Consider the following 24989-nt stretch of genomic DNA (forward strand, 5'->3'; position numbering starts at 1 on the left):
CCAAAGTGCTGGGATTACAGGTGTGAGCCACCGCACCTGGCCACCTTTTTCTTTTCTTTTTTTTTTTTTGAGACAGAGTCTTGCTCTGTCGCCAGGCTGGAGTACAGTGGCACGATCTCGGCTCACTTCAGTCTCCACCTCCCGGGTTCAAGCAATTCTCCTGCCTCAGCCTCCCGAGTAGCTGGGACTAAAGGCATGCGCCACCACGCCCAACTAATTTTTGTACTTTTAGTAGAGACGGGGTTTCACCATGCTGGCCAGAATGGTCTTGATCTCTTGACCTCGTGATCCTCCCGCCTTGGCCTCCCAAAGTGCTGGGATTACAGGCGTGAGCCACCGCACCCGGCCAATCTCTTTTATCTTGTTTCCAAACCAAATCATACCTGAAGACAACTTCATTCTCTTGGACAAAAGAGCACCGACCTCTAGCTGATCCTAACTCACACCTCCCACCTTCTCCATGGCTCCTGCTTAGACACCAGGACACTCAAATCTGTGGATGCCTCGGGCCTTCCCCCATCTGCCTTTCCTGAGACTTCCAGAACCCCCAGGTCAAATTGATCACCCTTACCCCCACCCCAACATAGCCCATTGGCATCATACATGCTTTGCTGTAGTGTACACTTCTTTTTTCTTTTTCTTTTTTTTTTTTTTTGAGACAGAGCCTGGCTCTGTCCCCCAGGCTTGAGTGCAGTGGCACAATCTCATCTCACTGCCACCTCTGCCACCCAGGTTCAAGTGGTTCTCCTGCCTCAGCCTCCCGAGTAGCAGGAGGGATTACAGGCGTCCACCACCATGCTCGGCTAACTTTTTGTATTTTTAGTAGAGATGGCGTTTCACCATGTTGGTCAGGCTGGTCTCAAACTCCTGACCTCAAATGATCCACCTGCCTTGGCCTCCCAAAGTGCTGGGATTACAGGAGTGAGCCACCGTGCCCAGCCGTGCACTTCTTTTAAAGAAATAAAAATGATCAGAAACCATAAATAGGCCTGGCTTGGTGGCTCATGCTTGTAATCCCAGCACTTTGGGAGGCTGACGAGGGAGAATCCCTTGAGGCCAAGAGTCTGAGACCAGCCTGGGCAATATAGTGAGACCCTGTCTCTACAAAAAATAATAACGATAAATTAGCTAGGCATGATGGCGCGTGCCTGTAGTCCCAGCTACTCAGGCATGGAAGGAGGATCGCTTGAGCCCAGAAGTTCGAGCTGCAGTGAGCTATGACTAAACTGCTGCACTCCAGACTGGGCAACAGAGTGAGACCTCATCTCAAAAAAAAAAAAAAAAAAAAAAATTAAAGCCTTAGTTTACAGGCATATATTATCATTGCAAAGGATGACTGCAAAAGAGAGTTCTCACTGTGACCAATCATGGGATCTTTAAAAGTTATCATTGATAAAACATGACAGAGTGGGAGGAAAGAAAAAGGAAAGGAGGCCGGGCGCAGTGGCTCACGCCTGTAACCCCAGCACTTTTGGAGGCCGAGGTGGGCGGGTCACTTGAGGTCAGGAATTCGAGACCAGCCTGACCGACATGGTGAAACCCCCTCTCTACTAAAAATACAAAAATTAGCTGGGCCTGGTGGCCAGTACCTGTAATCCCAGCTACCTCAGAGGCTGAGGCAGGAGAATCACTTCAACCTGGGAGGCAGATGTTGCAATGAGCCGAGATTACGCCACTGCACTCCAGCCTGGCAACAGAGCGAGACTCTGTCTCCAAAAAAAAAAAAAAAAAAAAAAAAAAATATATATATATATATACACATATGTACACATATATATAATGAAAGAAAAGAAAAAGGAGCAGCGGGGTGGGCAGTGGGGGGGTTGGCGGGGGGTTCACCATGTTAGCCAGGCTGGTCTCGAACTCCTGACCTCAGGAGATCCACCTGCCTCGGCCTCTCAAAGTGCTGGGATTACAGGCATGAGCCACCGCGCCTGGCCGAACAAGTTATTGTTGAAATAAAAATGAAAAATTCAAATCCTCAAGGAATTTGAAGATCTCTCCAAATGCATTTTCACGTCCCTGTTTTGAGAGCCATCCCTGGGAAATCACCCCCGCCCACACACAGCAAGACCCCAGAGTCCAGGACCACCTCACTGTGTAACGTCCAGAACAGAGCAAGCACTTGGTAAATGCTAACGGGTGATTAAGTGAAGGAAGGAAAGATCTGGAGTACAAGCAGGGGATGAAGACACATGCAAAACATTGGTTCAGAAGGTGCCCCTTCCCACAGTGGAGTGGAGGAATCTCCAAGGCAGGGGTCCATGGTCCCCAGCTGGTCCCTGACTTGTTAGGAATCGGGTTATGCAGCAGGAGGTGAGTGGCAGGTGAGGGAGCATTACCGCCGGAGCTCCATCTCCTGTCAGATCAGCGGTGGCATTAGATTCTCACCGGAGCGTGAACTCTATTGTGAACTGCGCACGTGAGGGATCTAGGTTGCATGTTCCTAATGAGAATCTAATGCCTGATGATCTGACATGGAACAGTTTCATCCCCAGACCATCTGGCTAACTCCTACCCCCAACCCCACCCCCATTCGTTGAAAAATTGTCTTTTTTGAAACTGGTCCCTGGTGTCAAAAAGGTTGGGGTGGCTGGGCGCAGTGGCTCATGCCTGTAATCCCAGCACTTTGGGAGGCTGAGGTAGGTAGATCACTTGAGGTCAGGAGTTCAAGATTAGCCTGGCCAATATGGCGAAACCCTGCCTCTACTAAAAATACAAAAATTGGCTGGGCGCAGTGGCTCACGCTTGTAATCCCAGCGTGATTACTTTGGGAGGCCGAAGCAGGTGGATCACGAGGTCAGGAGATCGAGACCATCCTGGCTAACACGGTGAAGCCCTGTCTCTACTGAAAATATAAAAAATTAGCCAGGCGTCATGGCGTGGGCCTGTAGTCCCAGCTACTCGGGAGGCTGAGGTAGGAGAATGGCGTGAACCCGGGAGGCGGAGCTTGCAGTGAGCCGAGATCGCGCCACTGCACTCCAGCCTGGGAGACAGCAAGACTCCATCTCAAAATAAAAAATAATAATAATAATAATAAAATTAGCTGGGCGTGGTGGCACATGCCTGTAATTCCGGCTACTCAGGAGGCTGAGGCAGGAGAATCACTTGAACCTCAGAGGCAGAGGTTGCAGTTACTTGAGACTGCGCCACTGCACTCCAGCCTAGGCAAGACAGCAAGACTCTATCTAAAAAAGAAAAAGAAAAAAAAAAAAACTGGGGACCACTGTTCTAAGGGATAGAGGACAGGGAGGTGGAAGAAAGAAAGGGAGAAGTGTGAGGGGCGTTTTGTCTGCCCTGAGCTCTCTCATACCCACAGCCCAGGGCAGGCAGGGCTGGGTTTGGAGGGTAGAATGGTCTGGGCAGAGGTCAGTCTGAAACTTCAGCCCTGGAGGGAGCTGGAGCTGGGGCTTTATCTTGCTCTCTTTCTTTATTTTAACTTATTCTTGTCTTTATTAGTTTTATAGAGATAGGGTCTCACTATGTTGCCCAGGCTGGTCTTGAACTCCTGGGCTCAGGAAATCCTTTCACCTCGGCCTCCCAAAGTGCTGTGATTACAGGTATGAGCCACTGCACCCAGCTCTTTCCTCCTTTTAAAAACAAGAAACCTGGCCAGGCACGGTGGCTCATGCCTGTAACCTCAATACCTTGGGAAGCTGAGGCAGGCTGATCACTTGAGGCCAGGAGTTTGAGACCTGCCTGGCCAACATGGTGAAACCCTGTCTCTACTAAAAATTCAAAAATTAGCTGGGCATAGTGGCACACGCCTGTAATCACAGCTACTCGGGAGGCTGAGGCAGAAGAATCGCTTGAATCCAGGAGGTGGAGATTGCAGTGAGTCAGGGTCATGCCACTGCACTCCAGCCTGGGTGACAGAGTGAGACCCTGTCTCAAAAAAAAAAAAAGAAAGAAAGAAAGCCTGAGTCACAGGGAGAGGCTTCTCCCCAGCCCCTGGGAAGCCGAAGAAGCCCTGGCCAGGCCGGCTCCCAAACTCACGGGTCCTGCTAGGCACCTGCTGTCACTCTCACTACCGACCTGGGAGAAGGCAATGGCCCATTTATGACACTGGAGGCGAGGGCCATGCACCCCCTAAGCAGGCAGCACCTCTGGAGCCATTCTGCAGCTGGAGGTTCATTTCCTTCCTGATGTCATAGTGCTCCAAGGTGGCACAGCCAGGACGGGAGCCTAGGGAATTGTCATCCACCCTGGAGCACTTTCCGTCTCTCAGCGGCTGTCCCAGCCCTGCACTCAGGCAATTCCTGCGGGAATCGGTGGCCCCTGGGCGTCCTGGATGGGGAACCACAGCCCCTGAGGCAGAGCGGCACAAACCCTCCAGTGGATCCCGTTCTCTTCTCCCAGGGATCAATGAAGCCCAGGGTGTGGGGGCTCAGCCTTGGTGTCCCGGCCCCTGTGGTCACACAGCAGCTATTGCTATGGGGTTGGGATGCAGGGAGGAAAAGCCCAGCGTCCCCCTTTCCACCCCAGGCCCCAACTTCTCTGTATTTGTTTATTTACCTTGGAAAAAGCCCCACAGCCCAGGCAGGAAATGGGCCAATTCCAGGAGGCCGGGCCGGGGAACAAGGAGCTACATTGTGCTCGGGCGGTGGCTCCCCACCCGGGCCTGCCAGGAGCCCAGAGGTGGGGGGGTCTGCATGGGGACCGGGCGGGAAGGAGGCGTGGGGCTGAGGGGCTGCCAGTACTCCCAACCAGCCAGCGTGTGAAAAGGCTTCTGTGCAGGGGGTGGGATGGGGGCTGTGGCTCCCCGTCCCACCTGGGAATGAACAGAGGCTGGGCAGTGGGGGAGGCAGACGCTGGGCTGGGGCTGGACCCCGGTCTTGACCCAGGGCCCACCTGGCACTGATCTGCCTGCCCAAGGCAGACCCTGGCCTGGGAACCCCATCTCCTTGGGCTGAGATCCCACCCTGTGGCTGGAGAATGTTCCCGCCCTCGGCCTCCCTTCTGGGGTCTCAACTCCTGCCAGGCAGCTGGCCTGACCTCAGACTGCCCCTAGCCCAAGGCTGGGGGCTGGAGAGCCCTGTGGTCAGAGCCCTCCCCTCCATGCCCAAGCCCAGGCTGGCACTGGGGCTGATGTCATCATGGGGGCGGCTTGAGGAGGGCTGAGCTCTCCCTGACCCTAGACTCTTCTTTACTAACAGGCTAGTGTCCATATGGATGGATCATTCATTCACTCATTCGTTTATTTAATACACTCCCTGTCTGTTCGACGCACACTCCCCTTCTCTCCACTTCTGGCCCCGTTTCCTCTAATCCTTCATTCCTTGGTTCCCAGAGGGTTAAATGTAGATCGATATGTCACCTCTGGCTCCAAAGGTCTCTGAAGGGCCAGGTGTGGTGGCTCAAGTCTGTAATCCTAGCACTTTGGGAGACCGAGGTGGGTGGATCACCTGAGGTCAGGAGTTCGAGACCAGCCTGGCCAACAAGGTGAAACTCCGTCTCTACTAAAAACACAAAAATTAGCCGGACTTGGTGGTGGGAGCCTGTAATCCCAGCTACTCAGGAGGCTGAGGCAGGAGAATCACTTGAACCTGGGAGGCAGAGGTTGCAGTGAGCTGAGATCACACCACTGCACTCCAGCCTGGGCAACAAGAGGGAAACAAAAAAACAAAAAACAAAACAAACAAAAATAAATAATTAAAAAATAAGGGTCTCTGAAGACTTCCTGCTACTTTCTGGGTCCATGCCCCTCCTCTTCATCCTCCACGTCCCACCGGGCTCTTCAGGCCCCAGCCTAGATAACACCAGGCTAGATTTTGATCTCCCAGGGACTGGGTGTCGGGAGGGAAAGGCGGGGGGAGTGTCAGAGAGGGGATGGATTTCTCCCACCCACACTCGGGGAGGCCTCCGGATGGATGTGTCCTTCCATCTGATGGACCTCAGGATTGGGAGAAAGATCGGGGACAAGAGACGGGCACAACAGTCACCTGGTTTCTTTTTCTTCCTTTATTTTTTGAGACTGAGTCTCGCTGTATCACCTAGGCTAGAGTGCAGTGACACGATCTTGGCTCACTGCAACCTCCACTTCCCAGGTTCAAGTGATTCTCCTGCCTTAGCCTTCCGAGTATATGGGATTACAGGCGTGTGCTGCCATGCCCGACTAATTTTTGGATTTTAGTAGAGATAGGGTTTTGCCATGTTGGCCAGGCTGGTCTTGAACTCCTGACCTCAAGTGATCTGCCCACCTTGGCCTCCCAACGTGTTGGGATTACAGGTGTGAGCCACTGTGCCCGGCCACATGGTTTCTTCCATGACAGCTCCCTCTCTGCTGAAATAGCATTTCCCACCCCCACCCATGGCATCACTCTCCTGCTGCCATCTTCATCAAAGACTGATGTCACCTGGCATGTTTTTAGGTTTTTTTCTGGTGGCTTTTATTTTTTTAATTTTAGAGATGAGGTCTCACTATGTTGCCCAGCCTGGTCTCAAACTCCTAAGCTCAAGGGATCCACCTGCCTCTACCTCCCAAAGTGCTGGGGTTACAGGCATGCACCACCATGCCCAGACCACATTGCATGCATTTTATTTAAATTTTTTTTTTTTTAAGACGGAGTCTCATTCTGTCACCCAGGCTGAAGTGTAGTGGCGCAATCTTGGCTCACTGCAATCCCAGGTTCAAGCAATTCTCCTGCCTCAGCCTCCTGAGTAGCTGGGATTACAGGCGTGAGCCACTGCACCCGGCCTTTATTTAAGGTTTCTCTCCTTAACCATTACACCTGTAATCCCAGCCCTTTGGGAGGCCGAGGCGGGCAGATCACCTGAGTTCAGGTGTTGAAAACCAGCCAGGCCAACATGGTGACACCGCATCTCTACTAAAAATACAAAAATTAGCCAGGCGTGGTGGCAGGCACCTGTAGTCCCAGCTACTCAGGAGGCTGAGGCAGGAGCATTGCTTGAACCTGGGAGGTGGAGGTTGCAGTAAGCCAAGATCGCACCACTGCACTCCAGCCTGGGCAGCGGAGTAAGACTCTGTCTCAAAAAAAAAGGGGGGGGGGCGCCGGATGCTGGCAGAGACACTGTTTTTCCCTAATTGACCCATTTGGTCCTAACATTGACCGTATTTTACAGCTACTATCATTTACAGATAAGGAAACTGGGCCAATGAGGAGGTGAGAAATCGCTCAAGGCTGCCAGGTACAGTGGCTCATCCCTGTAATCCCAGCACTTTGGGAGGCCAAGGGAGGAGGATTAATTGAGGCCAGGAGTTTGAGACCAGCCTAGGCAACATAATGAGACTCTGTCTCTACAAAAAATTTAAAAATTAGTGGGGTGTGGTGATGCATGTGTAGTCCCAGCTACTCCGGAGGCTGAGGTGGGAGGATCGCTTGATCCCAGGTGTCTGAGACAGTAGTGAGCTATGATTGCACCACTGCACTACAACCTCGGTGATGCAATGAGATGCTGTCTCAAAAAAAAACACACACACACACAAAACAACAAAAAAACAAATTGTTCAAGGCAAGCCTGGTGTGTCAAGCCCTTGTTCTGAGCACTTGGCTTATATTATCTCCCTTAATCCTTCCCACCACCCCATGTGCTAGATACTGGGATTAATTTAGTTGAGCTGTAATACATCAATACTGTGTGAAATGCTATGCAACATCTAAAAGGAAGACAGGTGGAGCTTTTATTTATTTTTTATTTTATTTATTTTTTGAGACACAGTCTCGCTGCATTACCCAGCCTGGAGTGCAGTGGCACAATCACAGCTCACTGTAGCCTCAACCTCCTGGGTTCAAACAATCCTCCCACCTCAGCCTCTCAAGTAGCTGGGACTACAGGCTTACACCACCATGCCTGGCTAATTTTTTTTTTTTTTTTTTTTTTTTTTTAGAGATGGTGTTTTGCTAACTTGCCCACGCTGATCTCAAACTCCTTTTTTTTTTTGGCTTTGGAATGGTCTGGAACTCCTGCGCTCAAGTGATCCTCCCACCTTGGCCTCCCAAAGGCCTGGGATTACAGGTATGAGCCACCGCACCAAGCCCAGGTTGAGCTTTTAAGGTATTAAAGATCCACTAGGTGAAAAAATAGAGTGAATGATACATATGCCATTTAAGGGAAGCACAGGAAAACTCCTATTTTGTTTATATGTGAATAGAGGCACATAGATGCCTAGAAAAGTGTCTGGGAGGAAATGAAACCAGATTGGCCACAAAAATCACCTCTGGAAAAAGGAAAAGAATGGGGACTTTCACTTTTTGCTTCATATGTTTCATGTACCTTTTTTTTTTTTTTTGAGATGGAGTTTCACTCTTGTTGCCCAGGCTGGGGTGCAGTGGTGCGATCTCAGCTCACTGCAACCTCCGCCTCCTAGGTTCAAGCGATTCTCCTGCCTCAGCCTCCCGAGTAGCTGGGATTACAGGCATGTGCCACCACGCCCGGCTAATTTTTTGTGTTTTTAGTAGAGACAGGGTTTCTCTATGTTGGTCAGGCTGGCCTTGAACTCCCAATCTCAGGTGATCCGCCCGCCTTGGCCCCCCAAAGTGCTGGGATTACAGGCGTGAGCCACTGTGCCCGGCTGTATTCAATACTTTCTTTTCCATTGCACAAGAACAGAATGCTAGGGAGGGGAAGAACAAATAGCCCTTCAATTTTCTAAAATTTATTTTTTGTAGAGATGGGATCTTGCTATGGTGCCCAGACTGATCTTTAACTCCTGGCCTCAAGCAATCCTCCCACCTTGGCCTCCCAAAGTGCTGGGATTACAGGTGTGAGCCACCGCGCCCGGCCGCTTTTTCTTTTTAAAAAGTAAAATATAACAGAGAAAACTGCACAAAACAGAAGTGTTCAAATTATTTTTTTTTTTTTGAGACAGGGTCTTGCCCTGTTGCCCAGGCTGGAGTGCAGTGGCTCATTCATAGCTCACTGCAGCCTCAAACTCCTGGGTACAAGCGATCCTCCCACCCTAGCCTCCTGAGTGGCTGGAAGGCCAAGGGAGGATCGCTTGAGCCCAGGAGTTTGAGGCTGTGCCACCACGTGCAACTAGTTTTTTTTTTTTTTTTTTTAATTTTTTTAGAAACAGGGTTTCGCTATGTCACCCAGGCTGGTCTCAAACTCACGGGCTCAAGCAATCCTCCCATCTTTGGCCTCCCAAAGTACTGGGACTACAAACATGAGCCATCTTGCCCAGCCCCTAGAACGTGTTATCAAATAAACACCGATGCAACCCTCACTCAGCCGAGAAGTAAAATATTGCCAGCCAATCCCTAGATGCTTCTGCTTGCCGCTTCCCAATCCTAACCAATGCCTTCTCCTGACAATTATGATGGTCATGTCTTTGCATTTCTCTAATGTTTCCCATCATGATCAAACTAGTTTTGTTTTGCCTGTGTCCAAACTTTGCATAAATGAGCAGCATGTGTCTGGTGGACCTGGCTTCTTCCACTCAACATTATGATAAGAAGATTGACCATTTGGTGCCCATAGCTATTGCTCTTGCATTTTCATTGCTCTATAGATTCTTACTCAACATACCTTAAAAATTTTTTTATTCTGAAATAAGAGCGGGATGCTATTAAAAAAAGAAAAAAAGAGAACAAAAAAGTCCTCCAGTAAATTTAAAATATGGTAGTTAAGGCTGGGCACGGTGGCTCACACCTGTAATCCCAGCACTTTGGGAGGCTGAGGTGGGTGGATCACCCGAGGTCAGGAGTTCAAGACCAGCCCGGCCAACATGGCAAAACCCTGTCTCTACGAAAAAAATACAAAAATCAGCCAGGTGTGGTGGTGTGCACCCGTAATCCCAGCTACTCGGGAGGCTGAGACATGAGAATTGCTTGAGCCCGGGAGGCAGAGGTTTCCATGAGCTGAGAAGTGCCACTGCACTCCAGCCTGGGTGACAGAATGAGACGAAAAAGGAAAGAAAGAGAGAACGAGAGAGAGAAAGAGAGAAAGGAAGGAGGGAAGGGAAGGGAGGGGAGGAGAGGGGAAGGGAGGAGAGGGGAGGGGAGGGGAAGAGAAGGGGAAGGGAAGGGAAGGGGAAGGGAAAGGGAAGGGAATGGGAAGGGAAGAAAATTAGAGATTAATTCAGGAGATTCAACATCCGCCTAATAGAAATTCCAGAAAGAGGAAGTAGAGAATAGAGAGGCCGGGTGCAGTGGCTCACACCTATAATCTCAGCACTTTGGGAGGCTGAAGTAGGAGGATTGCTTGAGGCCAGGAGTTTGAGGCTGCAGTGAGCTATGATTGAGCCACTGTACTCCAGCCTGGAAAACAAAGCAAGACCTCGTCTCTAAAAGTAATAATACGCCGGGACAGTGGCTCCCCACACTTTGGGAGGCTAAGGTGGGCGGATCACTTGAGGTCAGGCGTTCGAGACCAGCCTGGCCAACATGATGAAACCCAATCTCCACTCAAAATAAAAAAATTAGCCAGGTGTGGTGCTGCACACCTGTAACCCCAGCTACCTGGGAGGCTGAGACAGGAGAATCGCTTGAACCCGGGAGATGGAGGTTGCATGAGGCGAGATCGCATCATTGCACTCCAGCCTGGGTGACAGAATGAGACTCTGTCTCAAAATAATAATAATAATAATAAAGTTAAATATAAATAAATAAAAGCAAATGAATAGAATTAGTTTTATTCATTTGTTTTGTTGTTGTTATTGTTTTGGAGACAGAGTTTTGTTCTTGTCACCCAGGCTGGAGTACAATGACGTGATCTGGGCTCACTGCAACCTTCGCTTCCTGGGTTCAAGCGATTCTCCTGCCTTAGTCTCCTGAGTAGCTGGGATTAGAGGCGTGTGACACCTCGCCCGGGTAATTTTTGTATTTTTAGTACAGACGGGGTTTCACCATGTTGGCCAGGCTGGTCTCGAACTCCTGACCTCAGGTGATCCACCCGCCTCAGCCTCCCAAAGTGCTGGGATTACAGGTGAGCTACTGTGCCCGGCACGGTAGCTCACTTTTTATCGTTTTTTGTTGTTGTTGTTGTTTTGGTTTTTTTTAAGACACAGTTTTGCTCTTGTTGCCCAGGCTGGAGTGCAATGATGCGATCTTGGCTCACCGCAAGCTCGGCCTCACAGGTTCAAGCGATTCTCCTGCCTCAGCCTCCCGAGTAGCTGGGATTACAGGCATGCGCCACCACGCCTGGCTAATTTTTGTATTTTTAGTAGAGTGGGGGTTTCTCCATGTTGGTCAGGCTGGCCTTGAACTCCCAACCTTAGGTGATCCACCTGCCTTGGCCTCCCAAGGTGCTGGGATTACAGGTGTGAGCCACGCGCCCAGACTTTATTGTTTAAATGCATATATACTGTAATTTAAAGTTTGCACAAAACATTATGCTTGTTATTTTTAAATATGTGATTATAGGCCGGGAACAATGGCTCACACCTGGAATCCCAGCACTTTGAGAGGCTGAGGCGGGCAGATCAATTGAGGCCAGGAGTTCCAGACCAGCCTGGGCAATACAGTGAAACCACATTTCTACTAAAAATACAAAAATTAGCTGGGCATGGTGGCTTACACCTGTAATTCCAGCTACTTGGGAGGCTAAGGCAGGAGAATTGCTTGAACTCAGGGGGCAGAGTTTGCAGTGAGCCGAGATCACACCACTGCACTTCAGCCTGAGTGACAGAACAAGACTCTGTCTCAAAAAAAAAAAAAAAAGGTGATTATAAGTGAGATGTATTATATTTCTTTGTCCTTAAGAAAAGTAAGCACAAAGCCACAGTCAAGAAGGGTATAGCCAGCAGAGGGACTGTCTTGGGCAAAGGTGTGAGCCAAGCACTGGGCTTGCTGGTGTGTCTGGGCTGGGTGAGAGACACAGGTGTTGGGAACCCAGGCTCTATGAGTGGGGCTGGGAGAGCAATGGCAGGTCACTAAGGCCCAGCAAGCCCTGATCACCAGGCTGACCCGTGTGGGTATGACACTAAGAAGATGAGAGCCAGTGAAGGCTTTGGAGCGGGGTAGAGGCGATGTCGGGCATCAGAAAGACCTGACCTCTCCTACTGGGTGGCTGGGGTTGAGACACAGGGGAGGGGGCTGTAGCCAAGGCACCCCCGGCTGGCTCAGCCACCCGGGAGGGAGAGGGGAGCCTGAGCCCAGAATACTGGAGATTTCTCCTCGGCCGAGGATGTGGGAAGGACTGCAGGGCTCTCGTGGGCCAAACCTCCCACTTTTATAGGAGGAAGCATTCTTTACCCAGGTGCAGGGAAGAAGGAAGGGAATTCCAAACAAGACAGAAACTCCAGTCAGTGTGTCCGCCCACTTGGGGGAAGCAAACCTCTGTGCAGAGGGAATGAGGCTCCACCAGGCAGCCAGGGCTGCCTACCCAGCAGGCACAGGGGACACCATGCCCAGAGCCCACCACGTGCTCAGGGGCCCCCAAAGGCTGGCTTGCTCTTTCTTCTTCCTTCCTTCCTTCCTTTCTTTCCTTCCTTCCTTCCTCCCTCCCTGTCTCTCTCTCTCTTTCTTCCTTCCTTCTTTTCTTCTCTTTCTTTCCCTTCCTTCCTTCCTTCCTCCTTCCCTCCCTCCTCCTCCTCCTCCTCCTCTTCCTTCTTCCTCTTCCTCTCTCTCTCTCTCTTTCTTTCAGACAGAGTCTCGCTCTGCTGCCCAGGCTGAAGTGCAATGGTGCGGCCTCAGCTCACTGCAACCTCCACCTCCCAAGTTCAAGCAATTCTCCTGCCTCAGCCTCTGAATAGCTGGGATTACAGGTGCCCACCACCACGCCCGGCTAATTTTTATATTTTTTAGTAGAGACAGGGTTTCACCATGTTGGCCAGGCTGGTCTCGAACTCCTGACCTCAGGTGATCCACCTACCTGGGCCTCCCAAAGTGCTGGGATTACAGGTATGAGCTATCATGCCTGGCCCCATTTCTTTTAAAATCAGAAGGAAAAAATATATATAACTTTTAGGCCAAAAATGTCTTCATGTATATTAATAGATTCATCTTTTCCCAATGTAACCATAAATATCATTTTTTAAAATTATTATTATTTTAGAAACAGGGTCTCACTCTGACGCCCAGGCTGAAGTGCAGTGGTACGATCTTAGCTCACTGCAGCCTCCAATTCCTGGGCTCAAGCGATCCTCCCACATCAGCTTCTTGAATGTGACCTCAGGCAGAAGTCACCGTGCCTGGCTAATTTTTAATTTAATTTTTTTTTTTTTGGTAAAGATGGGTTCTCATTATGTTGCCCAGGCCGGTCTTGAACTCCTGGCCTCAAGTGATCCTCCTGCCTTGGCCTCCTAAGGTGCTGGTATTATAGGATTGAGCCACCAAGCCCGGCCCGAATATAATTTTTAATTTTTTTTTTGAGACGGAGTTTCACTCTTGTTGCCTAGGCTGGAGTGCAGTGGCACGATCTCGGCTGACCGCAACCTCCACCTCCCGGGTTCAAGAGATTCTCCTGCCTCAGCCTCCTGAGTAGCTGGGATTACAGGCATGCACCACCACACCCAAATAATTTTCTATTTTTAGTAGAGACAGGGTTTCTCCACATTGGTCAGGCTGGTCTTGAACTCCCGACCTCAGGTGATCCTCCCACTTTGGCCTCATAAAGTGCTGGGATTACAGGCATGTGCCACCGCACGTGGCCTAATTTTCTAATTTTTTTTTTTTTAACGGAAGAAGGACCCCAGGAAGTCAAAAGTGCCTACAACCCATGAAAGTCTAAATGAGGACAATGGAGGCTGGGCGTGGTGGCTCACTCCTGTAATCCCAGCACTTTGGGAGGCCAAGGTGGGCGGATCACCTGAGGTCAGGAGTTCGAGACCAGCCTGGCCAACATAGTGAAACCCTGTCTCTACTAAAAAACACAAAAATTAGTCGGGTGTGGTGGCGGGCACCTATGATCACAGCTACTCAGGAGGCTGAGGCAGGAGAATCGCTTGAACCTAGGAGGCAGAGGCTGCAGTGGGCTGAGATCGCACCACTGCACTCCAGCCTGGGGGACAGAGTGAGACCCCGTCTCAAACAAACAAAACAAAACAAAATGAGGATGATGGGGCTTCCAATGGCAACTCGAGACATTAGTTTACTCCAGAGTCATGGAGACAGTGAATGGAGTGTGTGTGTGTGTGTGTGTGCGTGTGTGTGTGTGTGTGTGTTTGTGTGCGTGTGTGTGAGTGAGAGAGACAGAGAGGAAGAAGGGAGGGAGGGACGGTTACAGGAGTGTGGGAAAGTCAACAGGAAAAGGAGGGAAGGTTCGCTGTGAACTGACAGTAACTGTGACCTCACAGGCATGTGCGGAGTCCCCGCCCCACCAGGCACTGTGCCAAGGCCAGTACCTTCATGTCATGAGACCCTCTCAGCAACTCTATAACCTTGTCCCCACCAGAATATTCCTTTCACAGCTGAGAAAACAACAGCACAAAGAGGATGAATTAAAAATTGTCTAACATGCTGGGCGCAGTGGCTCACGCCTGTAATCCCAGCACTTTAGGAAGCTGAGGCAGGTGGATTATCTGAAGTCAGAAGTTTGAGACCAGCCTGGCTAACATGGTTGAAACCCTGTCTCTACTAAAACTACAGAAATTAGCCAGGCGTAGTGGCAGTCACCTGTAATCCCAGCTACTCGGGAGGCTGAGGCACGAGAGTCGCTTGAATCCAGGAGGTGGAGGTTGCAGTGAACCGAGATCACACCACTGCACTCCAGCCTGGGTGACAGAGTGAGATCCTGTCTCAAAAAAAAAAAAAAAAAATTATCTGACGTGACACAATCGTGGGGCATGATTTGAATCTGGGCATCTGACTCTACAAGCTGACTCAGCCCTTCTGTGACATTGCTTCCCAGGGCCTGAACCCCAAAGTAGCACCTGAGGTTTTTCCTTGCATGGGTGCCCAAGGAAATGGTGATAGAACTGACTGAAAAGGGGCCGGGTATTATAGCTCATGCCTGTAATCCCAGCATGTTGGGAGACCGAGGCAGGAGGATCACATGAAGCCAGAAGTTCAAGACCAGCCTAGGCAACATCTCAAGACACTATCTCTAGAAAAAATTAAAAATTAGCCAGGCATGGTGGTGGGCGCTTATAGTAGCAGCTACTCAGGATGCTGAGGCTGGAGAATCACTTGAACCCGGGAGGCAGAGTCTGCAGTGAACTGAGATTGTGCCACTGCACTCCAGCCAAAAAAAAAAAAAGAATTGACTGAAAAGGGGCTGGGTGTGGCAGCTCATGCATATAATCCTGGCACTCTGGGAGGCCGAGGCAGGAGGATACATTGAGGCCAGGAGTTCGAGACCAGCCTAGGCAACGTCTCAAGACACCATCTCTACAAAAAATAAAAAATTATCCAGGGCCGGGCACGGTGGTTCATGCCTGTAATACCAGCACTTTGGGAGACCAAGGCGGGCAGATCTCTTGAGGTCAGCATTTCGAGACCAGCCTGGCCAACATGATGAAACCCCATCTCTACTAAAAAATACAAAAATTAGCCAGGCCTCGTGGCACACGCCTGTAGTCCCAGCTACTCCGAAGGCTGAGGTGCGAGAATCACTTGAACCCGGGAGGTGGAGGTTGCAGTGAGAAGAGATGGCACCACTGCACTCCAGCCTGGGCGACAGAGCAAGACTCCATCTCAAAAAAAAAAAAAAAACAACAAAAACACTTAGCCAGGCGTGGTGGTGGGCTCGGGCTCTGTAGTCTCAGCTACTTGGGAGGCTGAGGTGGGAGGATCATTTGAACCTGGGAGATCGAGACTGCAGTGAGCCATGATTGCACCACCGCACTCCAGCCTGGGCAACAGAGTGAGACCCTGTCTGAAAAAAGAAAAAAAAGCACCTGTTTCTGCGGGGATGTCAGGGGCCTCCTTGCAGGCCTGGCCCCACCCCCAGGCCCACACCCAGGCCCTGGTTCCACAGATCATGGCACATGGCAGGCAGGAGAAGGGACAAAGAGGAATAGAGGGAGGAGGAGGCCCGGAGCTCCAGGATAATACAGTGGGGGGACAACAGAACCCCAAATGGCCATGAAGTTAGCAGATCGAGGACCCAGGTGAGTGTCTCCTCCTTGGGGTGTCCAACTCTCATTTCTAGAGGACTTCATTCAACAGATACGTACTTAGCACAGTGCTGAGGGCACGGCAATGAATTGGACCCAGCCTGGGGGACAACGGGGTGGGAGATGACAAGGCAGGTTAGGTGGGTATGCCCTGGAGGGGGTGATGACCAAGTCAAGTCCTAGGACTGAGTTAGCTCGAACTAGGTTAGGTACAGCTCGGGCATACCAGGTGCAGGGGCCTCTTGAGGAGTGAACGGCAGACTTTGGGTCCTGCCCGCAGTCAGTGGGACTGGAGTACAGTTAAAGACTGGGTGTGGGATGTGCCGTGGGGAACCCCCGGGAGGCTGGATCTGCCATGTGCTGGTGTAAGGAGGACCAAGGGCTGCTGCTTACAAGTCAAGCAGGGGTCCCCGGGTGACCTGGAGATAGGGTGCAACTCTTCTTCTTCTTTTTTTTTTTTGAGACGGAGTCTTGCTCTGTCGCCCAGGCTGGAGTGCAGTGGTGCAATCTCCGCTCACTGCATCCTCCACCTCCCCAGTTCAAGCAATTATCCTGTCTCAGCCTCCCAAGTAGCTGGGACTACAGGTGTGCACCAACAGACTTGGCTAATTTTTGTATTTTTAGTGGAGACAGGGTTCCCCCATGATGGCCAAGCTGGTCTCTAACTCCTAACCTCAAGCGATCCACCCACCTCAGTCTCCCAAAGTGCTGAGATTACAGACTTGAGCCACCGCACCTGGCCAGTTGCAGATTTTTTTTTTTTTTTTTTTTTTTGAGATGGAGTCTTGCTCTGTCACTCAGTCTGGAGTGCACTGGCGTGATCTTGGCTAACTGCAACCTCTGTCTCCCAGGTTCAAGCGATTCTCCTGCCTCAGCCTCCTGAGTAGCTGGGATTACAGGCGCACGCCACCATACCCAGCTAATTTTTGTATTTTTAGTAGAGATGGGGGTTTCACTAGGCTGATCTCCTACTCCTGACCTCGTGATCCATGCGCCTCGGCCTCTCAGAGTGCTGGGATTACAGGTGTGAGCCACCACGCCTGGCCCAGGTGCAGCTCTTTTAAAGTTCCTGCTGGGCTGGGCACAGGGGCTCACATCTGTAATCCCAGCACTTTGGGAGGCCAAGGCAGGAGGATTGCTTGAGCCCAGGAGTTTGAGACCAGCTTGGGCCACATGGCAAAACCCCATTTCTACAAAAAATATTTAATACAAAAATTAGCTGGATGTGGTAGCTTGAGCCTGTGGTCCCAGCTACTTGGGAGGCTGAGGTGGGAGGATGGTTTGTGAGTCCAGGAGACAGAGGTTGCTGTGAGCCAAGATCGCGCCTCTGAACTCCAGCCTGGGCGACAGAGTGAGACCCTGTCTCAAAATAAAGCTCCTGCTGTGACCAGGTGGGGCCACTAAGCACTCATAGGAGGCTGGGAAAAACTTAGTGTAGGGCTGGGGGCAGGGAGTGGCACCCCCCACCCTAAAGACGTCCTGCCAGAGCAAGGGTAGTGGAGACAGGTACCCTTGTCCCCGCCCCGGCACACATCACTGGGGCAAGGTGAGGGGCTGGGCCAAGTGCTACCTGCCCCTTGGACCAGGGACTGACTGCTACCTGGGGGGACTGAAGGGAGACAGTAGGGAGGAAGAGGCTGTGCCAGTGGGGGGCGGGGAGGCCCACTCCTATCCTGCACACATGCCCCAGGCTGAGAGAGGACGTGGTCTGCGGAGGCTGAAGGTCACAGCCCCACCTGCCCCGCCGTGCTGGGCTTTGCCCCTCATACCTGGAGAGGCGGGTGGGCCGGGAGCCAGGGTCCTGCGTTGGCTGCAGTGGCCCGCCTGCGGCTGGGCCAGCCAAGCAGGGTCAAGAAAGTCCCCAGAACACCTTGGGGACCATCTCTCCCAGAGCCTCCCCCAGGCAGGGGCCGGGCACAGTGCAGCTTGCTGGCCTCAGGGGCTGGCCCAGGAGTCAGGTGACATTCCCTGGGGACCCCCCTGGGACCAGCACAGCCTCCGAGAAGGTGGGCTCCCGGCCCGGCCCGGGGCTGGGGCAGGGCTCTGCGCCTGCGCCGTCTGAGGCCCAGGCTGCAGGGAGCTGGGACCCCGGGTCCTTCCAGGTTCCCTGGCCCCTCTGTGGGCCGGACAGGCCGGCGGGAAGGAGGGTGGGGGTGGGGGACGCTGGGGCCTCTTTCCTGGTCGCCCGGCGGCAGCTGAGGTTATTTTTTCCCCCTCGCCGCTGCAGAATTTCCCTCCGAGTTGGATAAATAAGCAGCAGAGTCCAACGTCAACGAAACAGGAGCTCGCTGGGCCGCACAAAAGCGGCTTTCAGCAGCGGCGGCGCCTCCGGGCCTGTCCCGTGGCCGGGGCTCCCCGAGCAGCGCAGAGAGCGGGACTGCCCTTGGCCGACGCTGCGATCACGGCCTCAGAGGCCTCCAGGGCTCCGGCGCTTGTCCACTTCTCTTTTTCATTTTTATTTTTAATTTAAATTTTTTTTTAAGAGATGAGGTCTCGCTCTGTCTCCCAGGCTGGAGTGCAGTGGTACAATCACAGCTCACTGCAGCCTCTACCTCCCGGTTCAAGCGATCCTCCCGCCTCAGCCTCCCGAGTAGCTGGGACTACAGCTGTGAGCCACTGGGCTTGTGTCCTCTTCTGTCCTCTCTTCTGGTCCCCACCTGCTCCCTGCAGAACCCATGCTTGCCATTTGCCCCCACAGCACTCTGTGCAGCCCCTATTAAGGACTCCCTCCCTTAAAACCTGTGGCTCCGCCAGGCGTGGTGGCTCATGCCTGAAATCCCAGCACTTTGGGAGACAGAGGCCGGCGGATCACGAGGTCAGGAGTTCGAGACCAGCCTGACCAACATGGTGAAACTCCATCTCTACTAAAAATACAAAAATTAGCCGGGCATGGTGGCGCAATCCCAGCTACTCCGGAGTCTGAGGCAGGAGAATCACTTGAACCCAGGAGGCAGAGGTTGCAGTGAGCTAAGATCGTGCCATTGCAGTGAGCCGAGATCGCGCTATTGCACTCCAGCCTGGGCAACAGAGCGAGACTCCGTCTAAAAAACCAAAAACAAAACAAAATAAAACAAACAAGAAAAACCTTCTAAGGCTCCTCATTGCCCGAGGGAAGATCCTGGCTTTCCAGACCCGCAGCATGAAGTGGGCTACTTCCTGTTTCTCGCCAGTGCTTTTGCAGAGGCTGGTCCCTCTGTCAACAACACCCTTCCCTCTCTTCTACCTGGCTCCCACTGGGTTTTGAGATTCAGCTCCTGCATTGTTTTTGCTGACTCCAGCCCCCACAGCTTCTCTCTCTAATCATGGGCATCAGCTGACACCAGAGTGGTCACTGCTCTGTCTGTCACTCCAGCTGATCTTGAGCCACCCTAGGGCAGGAGCTGAATCTTTTTTTGTTTTTGAGAGAGATGGGGTCTTGCTCCATGCCCAGGCTGGAGTGCAGTGGCGCGATCATAGTTCACAGTAGCCTCAACCTCCTGGGCCCAAGCCATCCTACCGCCTCAGCCTCCCGAGTAGCTGGGACTCCAGGCATGTGCCACCATGCCCTGCTAATTTAAAAAATATATATAGAGAGATAGGGTCTCACTATGTTGCCCAGGCTAGTCTCAAACTCCTGGCCTCAAGTGATCCTCCCACCTTGGCCTCCCAAAGCACTGGGATTCAGGCATGAGCCACTATGCCCGGTCCCAAATTTGGCTCATCTTGTGTCCCCCGAACCCAGTCTAGTCTGTGCTGTGTGCTGCAGAGGCACAAAAGGGCCATTGCCTGGCATGGAGTAAGTGCTCACTTAATGTCCCCTATTAAAAAGTGACATAAAATCAGGCAGAGGTTATAGTGAGCCGAGATCGCGCTACTGCACTCCATCCTGGGTGACAGAGCAAGACTCTGTCTCAAAAAAAAAAACAGTGACATAAAATCATAACATTATATTCTATATAACAAATGCAAACTAATCTGTCATGACAAAATGTAGTGCAGTGATTGGCTGCCTGACTATAGATGCAAGGAAGGGAGGGAGGGCACAAGAAAACTTTTGGGGTGATAAATATACTCGCTGTCTTTTTTTTTTTTTTTTTGAGGCAGAGTCTCACTCCGTCGCCCAGACTGGAGTGTAGTGGTGCGACCTTGGCTCACTGCAACCTCCGCCTCCTGGCTTCAAGCAATTCTCCCGCCTCAGCCTCTGGAGTAGCTGGGACTACAGGCACGTGCCACCATGCCCAGTCATTGTCTTAAAAAAAAAAATCCTGGCATTATCACTTGCCCAAGTTGCTTCAATTCTCTCTAAATATCAATGTCCTCATCTAAAAATGAGAATAAAAAATAACCACCAGCCAGGTGCAGTGACTTATGTCCGTAATCCCAACACTTTGGGAGGCCGAGGTGGGTGGATCACTTGAGGTCAGGAGAGGCCAACATGGAGAGACCAGCCTGGCCAACATGGTGAAACTCCGTCTCTACTAAAAATACAAAAAATTTAGCTGGGCGTAGTGGCGCATTCCTGTAATCCCAGCTACTCAGGAAGCTGAGGCAGGAGAATCACTTGAACCTGGGAGACAGAGGTTGCAGTGAACTAAGATCACGCCACTGCACTCCAGCCTGGGTGACAAAGCGAGACTCTGTCTCAACAAAAATAAATAAATAATCACCTCATAAGGTATTGTCAGGATTAAATGACATACAAATTAATATTTAATAAATGGTAGTTATGATTAAGCTCCTTTCACACTATACTGTAGTATGTACTAGTTATTAATTTTTTTTTGGACAGGGTCTCTGTGCCCAGGCTGGAGTGCAGTGGTGATTGCAACCATAGTTCACTGCAGCCTCGACCTCCTGGGCCCAAGTGATCCTCCTGCCTCAGCCTCCCAAGTAGCTGGGACTACAGGTGTGTGCTACCATACTCGGTTAATTTTTTCCTTTTTTTGTAGACATGGGGTCTCACTTTGCTGCCCAGGCTGGAGTGCAGTGGCAAGATCACAGCTTACTGCAGCCTCGACCTCCCAGCTCAACCAATCCTCCTGCCTCAGACTCCCGAGTAGTTAGGGCCACAGTTGCACACCATTACACCTGCCTAGTTTTTAAATTTTTGGTAGAGATGGGGTCTCGCTATGTTGCCCAGTCTACTCTCAAACCCCCAGGCTCAAACGATCTTCCCACATCGGCCTCCCAAAGTGCTGGGATTACAGGCGTGAACCACCAAGACTGGCCAGTTATTAACATTTTAATGTGCTACTTTCCAGTAAGATATTTGCATTTTAACTGGAATATGTTCATTATGTGGACCAATCCTGATGAAGACTGCATACATATAATCCATAGGTCAAAAATCATCAAATTGGGACAGGTGCAATGGCTCACACCTGTAATCCCAGCACTCTGGGAGGCCGTGGAGGGTGGATCACCTGAAGTCAGGAGTTCGAGAACAGTCCGATCAACATGGTGAAACCCCGTCTCTATTAAAAATACAAAAACTAGCCAGGTGTGGTGGCGCACGCCTGTCATCCCAGCTACTCTGGAGGCTGAGGCAGGAGAATCGCTTGAACCCAGGAGGCGGAGGTTGCAGTGAGCCGAGATCATGCCACTGCACTCCAGCCTAGGCAACAGAGTGAGACTTGGTCTCGAAAAAAAAAAAAAAGAAAAAATGGAACAGACAGTCTAGTATAGCCCTTGATAGCTCATAAAGGGAAACTCAGTTAGAACCAGGGCTCAAGCTACAGAAGGGAAAATATTCCCTGAGCCACACCCGGGGTCTTTCCAGCCCCGCCCCTGTGCACAGCCTGTGTACCTGGGCACAGGTGCACACACAGGAGTAAACAGGCACCTGCATGGACCCTGTGTGTACACCTAACCTACACACACAGAGACACACACACACACACAGACGCACACACACACAGACACACACACAGACAGATGCGCACACACAGACACACACACAGACACAGACACATAGAGACACACACACAGAGACACACATACAGAGCCACACAGACACACACAGAGACACACACAGACACACACACAGAGACACACACAGAACCACACACACAAAGACACGCACACACACACAGAGACACACACATACACACAGAGACACACACACAGACACACAGATGCACACACAGACACAGACACACACAGATACACACACATACACACATAGAGACACACAAAGACATACACACACACACAGAGATACACACAGACACACACACAGACACACACACAGAACACCCCCACACACAGACACACACACACAGAGACACACATACAGAGACACACAGACACACACACACAGAGACAGACACACACACTCAGAGACACACATACACACACAGAGACACACACACACACACAGAGACACACACAGAGACACAGACACACACAGAGACACACACACAGAGACACACACAGAGACACACACACACAGACAGACACACAGCCCCCCACCCAACACACACACACTAACTGGCACCTGCCTCCGCAGGAACACACTGGTGCTCCTGCCCATCCTGCCCCAGGGAGCAGGTGTGTCGGGTGGACCTGCTGGGTACCCCGAGACCACAGACAGCCTCTCCTGTAGGGCAGCCCAGGCACCTGAAGGAGGCGCAGGATATTCCCCTTTCTGGTCCCTGCTTACTCACACCGCCACCTCTCTCCCCCAGAATCCAATCAATACCCCTTCCCCAGCCTTAGGCCCCACAAGAGTTCAGCCATTCCAGAAGGATCTCTGCTCCTCTTCTCATTCTGACATTCTTTAGACACAACAGATATTTATGGGGGCCCACTCCAGGGCAGGCTCCCAGACGCTGCAGAGCACAGCCAGGGCCCTGACCTCCCCAGGCTCATGGGGATGAAGGCACAGGTGCAGCATGGTGGCTGCAAGGCACAGAGGTGGGCACGAGGGTCCGCAGGGCGCTGAGTGGGGGTCATCCTGGAGGAGGCAGGAAAGGAAGGGGAGGGTGTACCCTCTAGGGGTTGACATGTGTTCGGGGAGGGGAGGGTTGGGGATGCAGGGACACAGGTCAGGAGGGCGTCCCTTCCCACATATGCAGGACAACTACTGGCCCCAGCCAGGGGTCCCAGGAGGGACGGCTTCTCCCCAGGGGGAGGAGGAGTTAGGGGGGCCCCTCGGCCCAGGGAGGGGTGCCGGAGATGGGCATTGATAGTGACCTCCCTCCTCCCGGCCCCTCCGGTCCTCCGGTCCTCCGCATAGTCTCCCTTTCAGTGAGCTCCAGGAGCATTGTTCCACCTTTGTAAAGAGGGAGATCGGGTGACAAAGCCGGGTGGGTGGGCAGGAGGCCAGAGGCCTCTTCTCTCCCAGGCCGCATCTGCGTGGGGGCGGAGCTCATCCACTCCCCTCCTCTGGCTTCCCAGGCGCGGCCGTTGCCATGGTGACAGGCCTGGCATCCCACGGCCCCTGGGGCGCCCTGCCCACCGAAGCTGCCAGAGGAAGGGCCCCCCGACGCTTCTCCACCCTGGCAAGATGGGGGCGGGGGCCCACAAAACCTGGCTCTTAGGCTAGCCCCAGCACTGGGAGGTTTCTAGCAGCCTGAACCTCCCAAGTCTGTGGGAGGGGAGCCCCACCTCCTGGCACCCTGACAGCTGGGGGCTCAGGAGTTGGGGCCACACATCACTATCATCTGTGCACCTAGGCCTCCTTGGGGCCAGATACAGAGAAATAATATGGTTGTTTTTTTGTGGGTTTTTTTGTGGAGAGAGGGGGTCTTGCTGTGTTGCCCAGGCTGGTCTTGAACTCTGGGCTCAAGCAATCCTCCCACCTTGGCCTCCCAAAGTACTAGGATTGCAGGTGTGAGTCATTGCACCCGGCCAATATGTTATTTCTTGATGTTATTCCATGGCCCTTGAACAGTGGCTGGCATGGGGCCGAGGGAGGGCACGGATGCAGAGGCCACAGTGTGCTGGACAGATGGGCTGGCCTGGACCCTGGATCCACAGAGCAGAGCCTCCAGCCCCAGCCCAGCTCTGCTGGGCTGGCCCTGGGAGGTGATGCTTCAATCTGGGGTGCCAGATGGAACAGAAGAGGAGGAAGACCTTCAGAGCTGGGGAAACAAGCCTGGCAAAGGCCTGGAAGCATGGCTTTGCAGGGTGTTTCTGGGGAGGAGTAAGAGTGGGGTGTCGGGTGTGACAGGAAATGAAGAGGTGAGGCGGGGTCTCTGCTTGGAGGAACTTCCACTGCCATCCCTGAGAGCATGCACTTTATTCTGGGCAGCTGCTGCTGAAGTTTTGGGACCCTCCATTATCAATGCCCAGGTGATCAAAGCTGGGTCCCTTCCCTTCCCTGCAGTGCCCTGCCCTGCCCTGCCCTCCCTTCCCCCCCGCTCCCCTCCCCCTCCCCCTCCCTCCCTCTAACCCCTCCCCCTCCCTCCCCTTCCCCTCCTCCCCCTCCATCCCCTTCCCCTCCTCCCCCTCCCTCCCCTTCCCCTCCTCCCCCCTCCCCCTCCCCCTGCCTCCCCTCCCCCTCTCCCTGTCTTTCTTTTTATTTTTTTTCTAGAGATAGGGTCTCACTCTGTTGCCCAGGCTGGAGTGCAGTGGTGTGATCATGGCTCACTGCAGCCTCCCAGGCTCAAGGGATTCTCCAGCCTCAGCCTCTTGAGTAGCTGAGACTACAGGCGCATACCACCATCCCTGACTTTTTTGTTTATTTTTGTTTTAGAGATGGTGGGGTCTTGCTATTTTGCCCAGGCTGGTCTCGAACTCCTGGGCTCAAGTGATTCTCCCACCTTGGCCTCCCAAAGTGCTAGGATTACAGGCTTGAGCCACGGTGCCTCACCTGGGTCCCCCAGGGTCACAGGTACCATACTCCTGCCTTACCTCTTTGGGAACTTCAGGACGTCTCATGGCCCACATGTGGCTGAGTACTATCCTGTGCTGGACACAGGGCTGGCTGCGTCTCCTTGGTGCCCCATCTCCCGATCCTCTTGAGGAGCGAGGGGCTGAGTGTATGCACGAGATGGCATGTCCCCTGCCTGGTCCCCTCCCTGCTCCAGCACAGCTCTAAGGGTAGCAG

The 24989-nt window shown here is 52.3% G+C and overlaps 2 annotated features.

Moving 5' to 3' along the window:
* Positions 17913-18072: a silencer, noted in NCBI's record as "silent region_18246". NCBI's record gives its function as "represses an Ori minimal core promoter by ATAC-STARR-seq in GM12878 lymphoblastoid cells {active_cell/tissue: GM12878}" and the evidence as "EXISTENCE:reporter gene assay evidence [ECO:0000049][PMID:35858748]".
* Positions 22466-23187: an enhancer, noted in NCBI's record as "H3K27ac-H3K4me1 hESC enhancer chr7:72842892-72843613 (GRCh37/hg19 assembly coordinates)". NCBI's record gives its function as "activates a minimal SCP1, AML or CMV promoter by ChIP-STARR-seq in naive H9 embryonic stem cells {active_cell/tissue: H9 hESC(naive)}" and the evidence as "EXISTENCE:reporter gene assay evidence [ECO:0000049][PMID:30033119]".

The sequence above is a fragment of the Homo sapiens genome, chromosome 7, assembly GCF_000001405.40.
Source record: "Homo sapiens chromosome 7, GRCh38.p14 Primary Assembly".
Classification (NCBI taxonomy): Eukaryota; Metazoa; Chordata; class Mammalia; order Primates; family Hominidae; genus Homo; species Homo sapiens.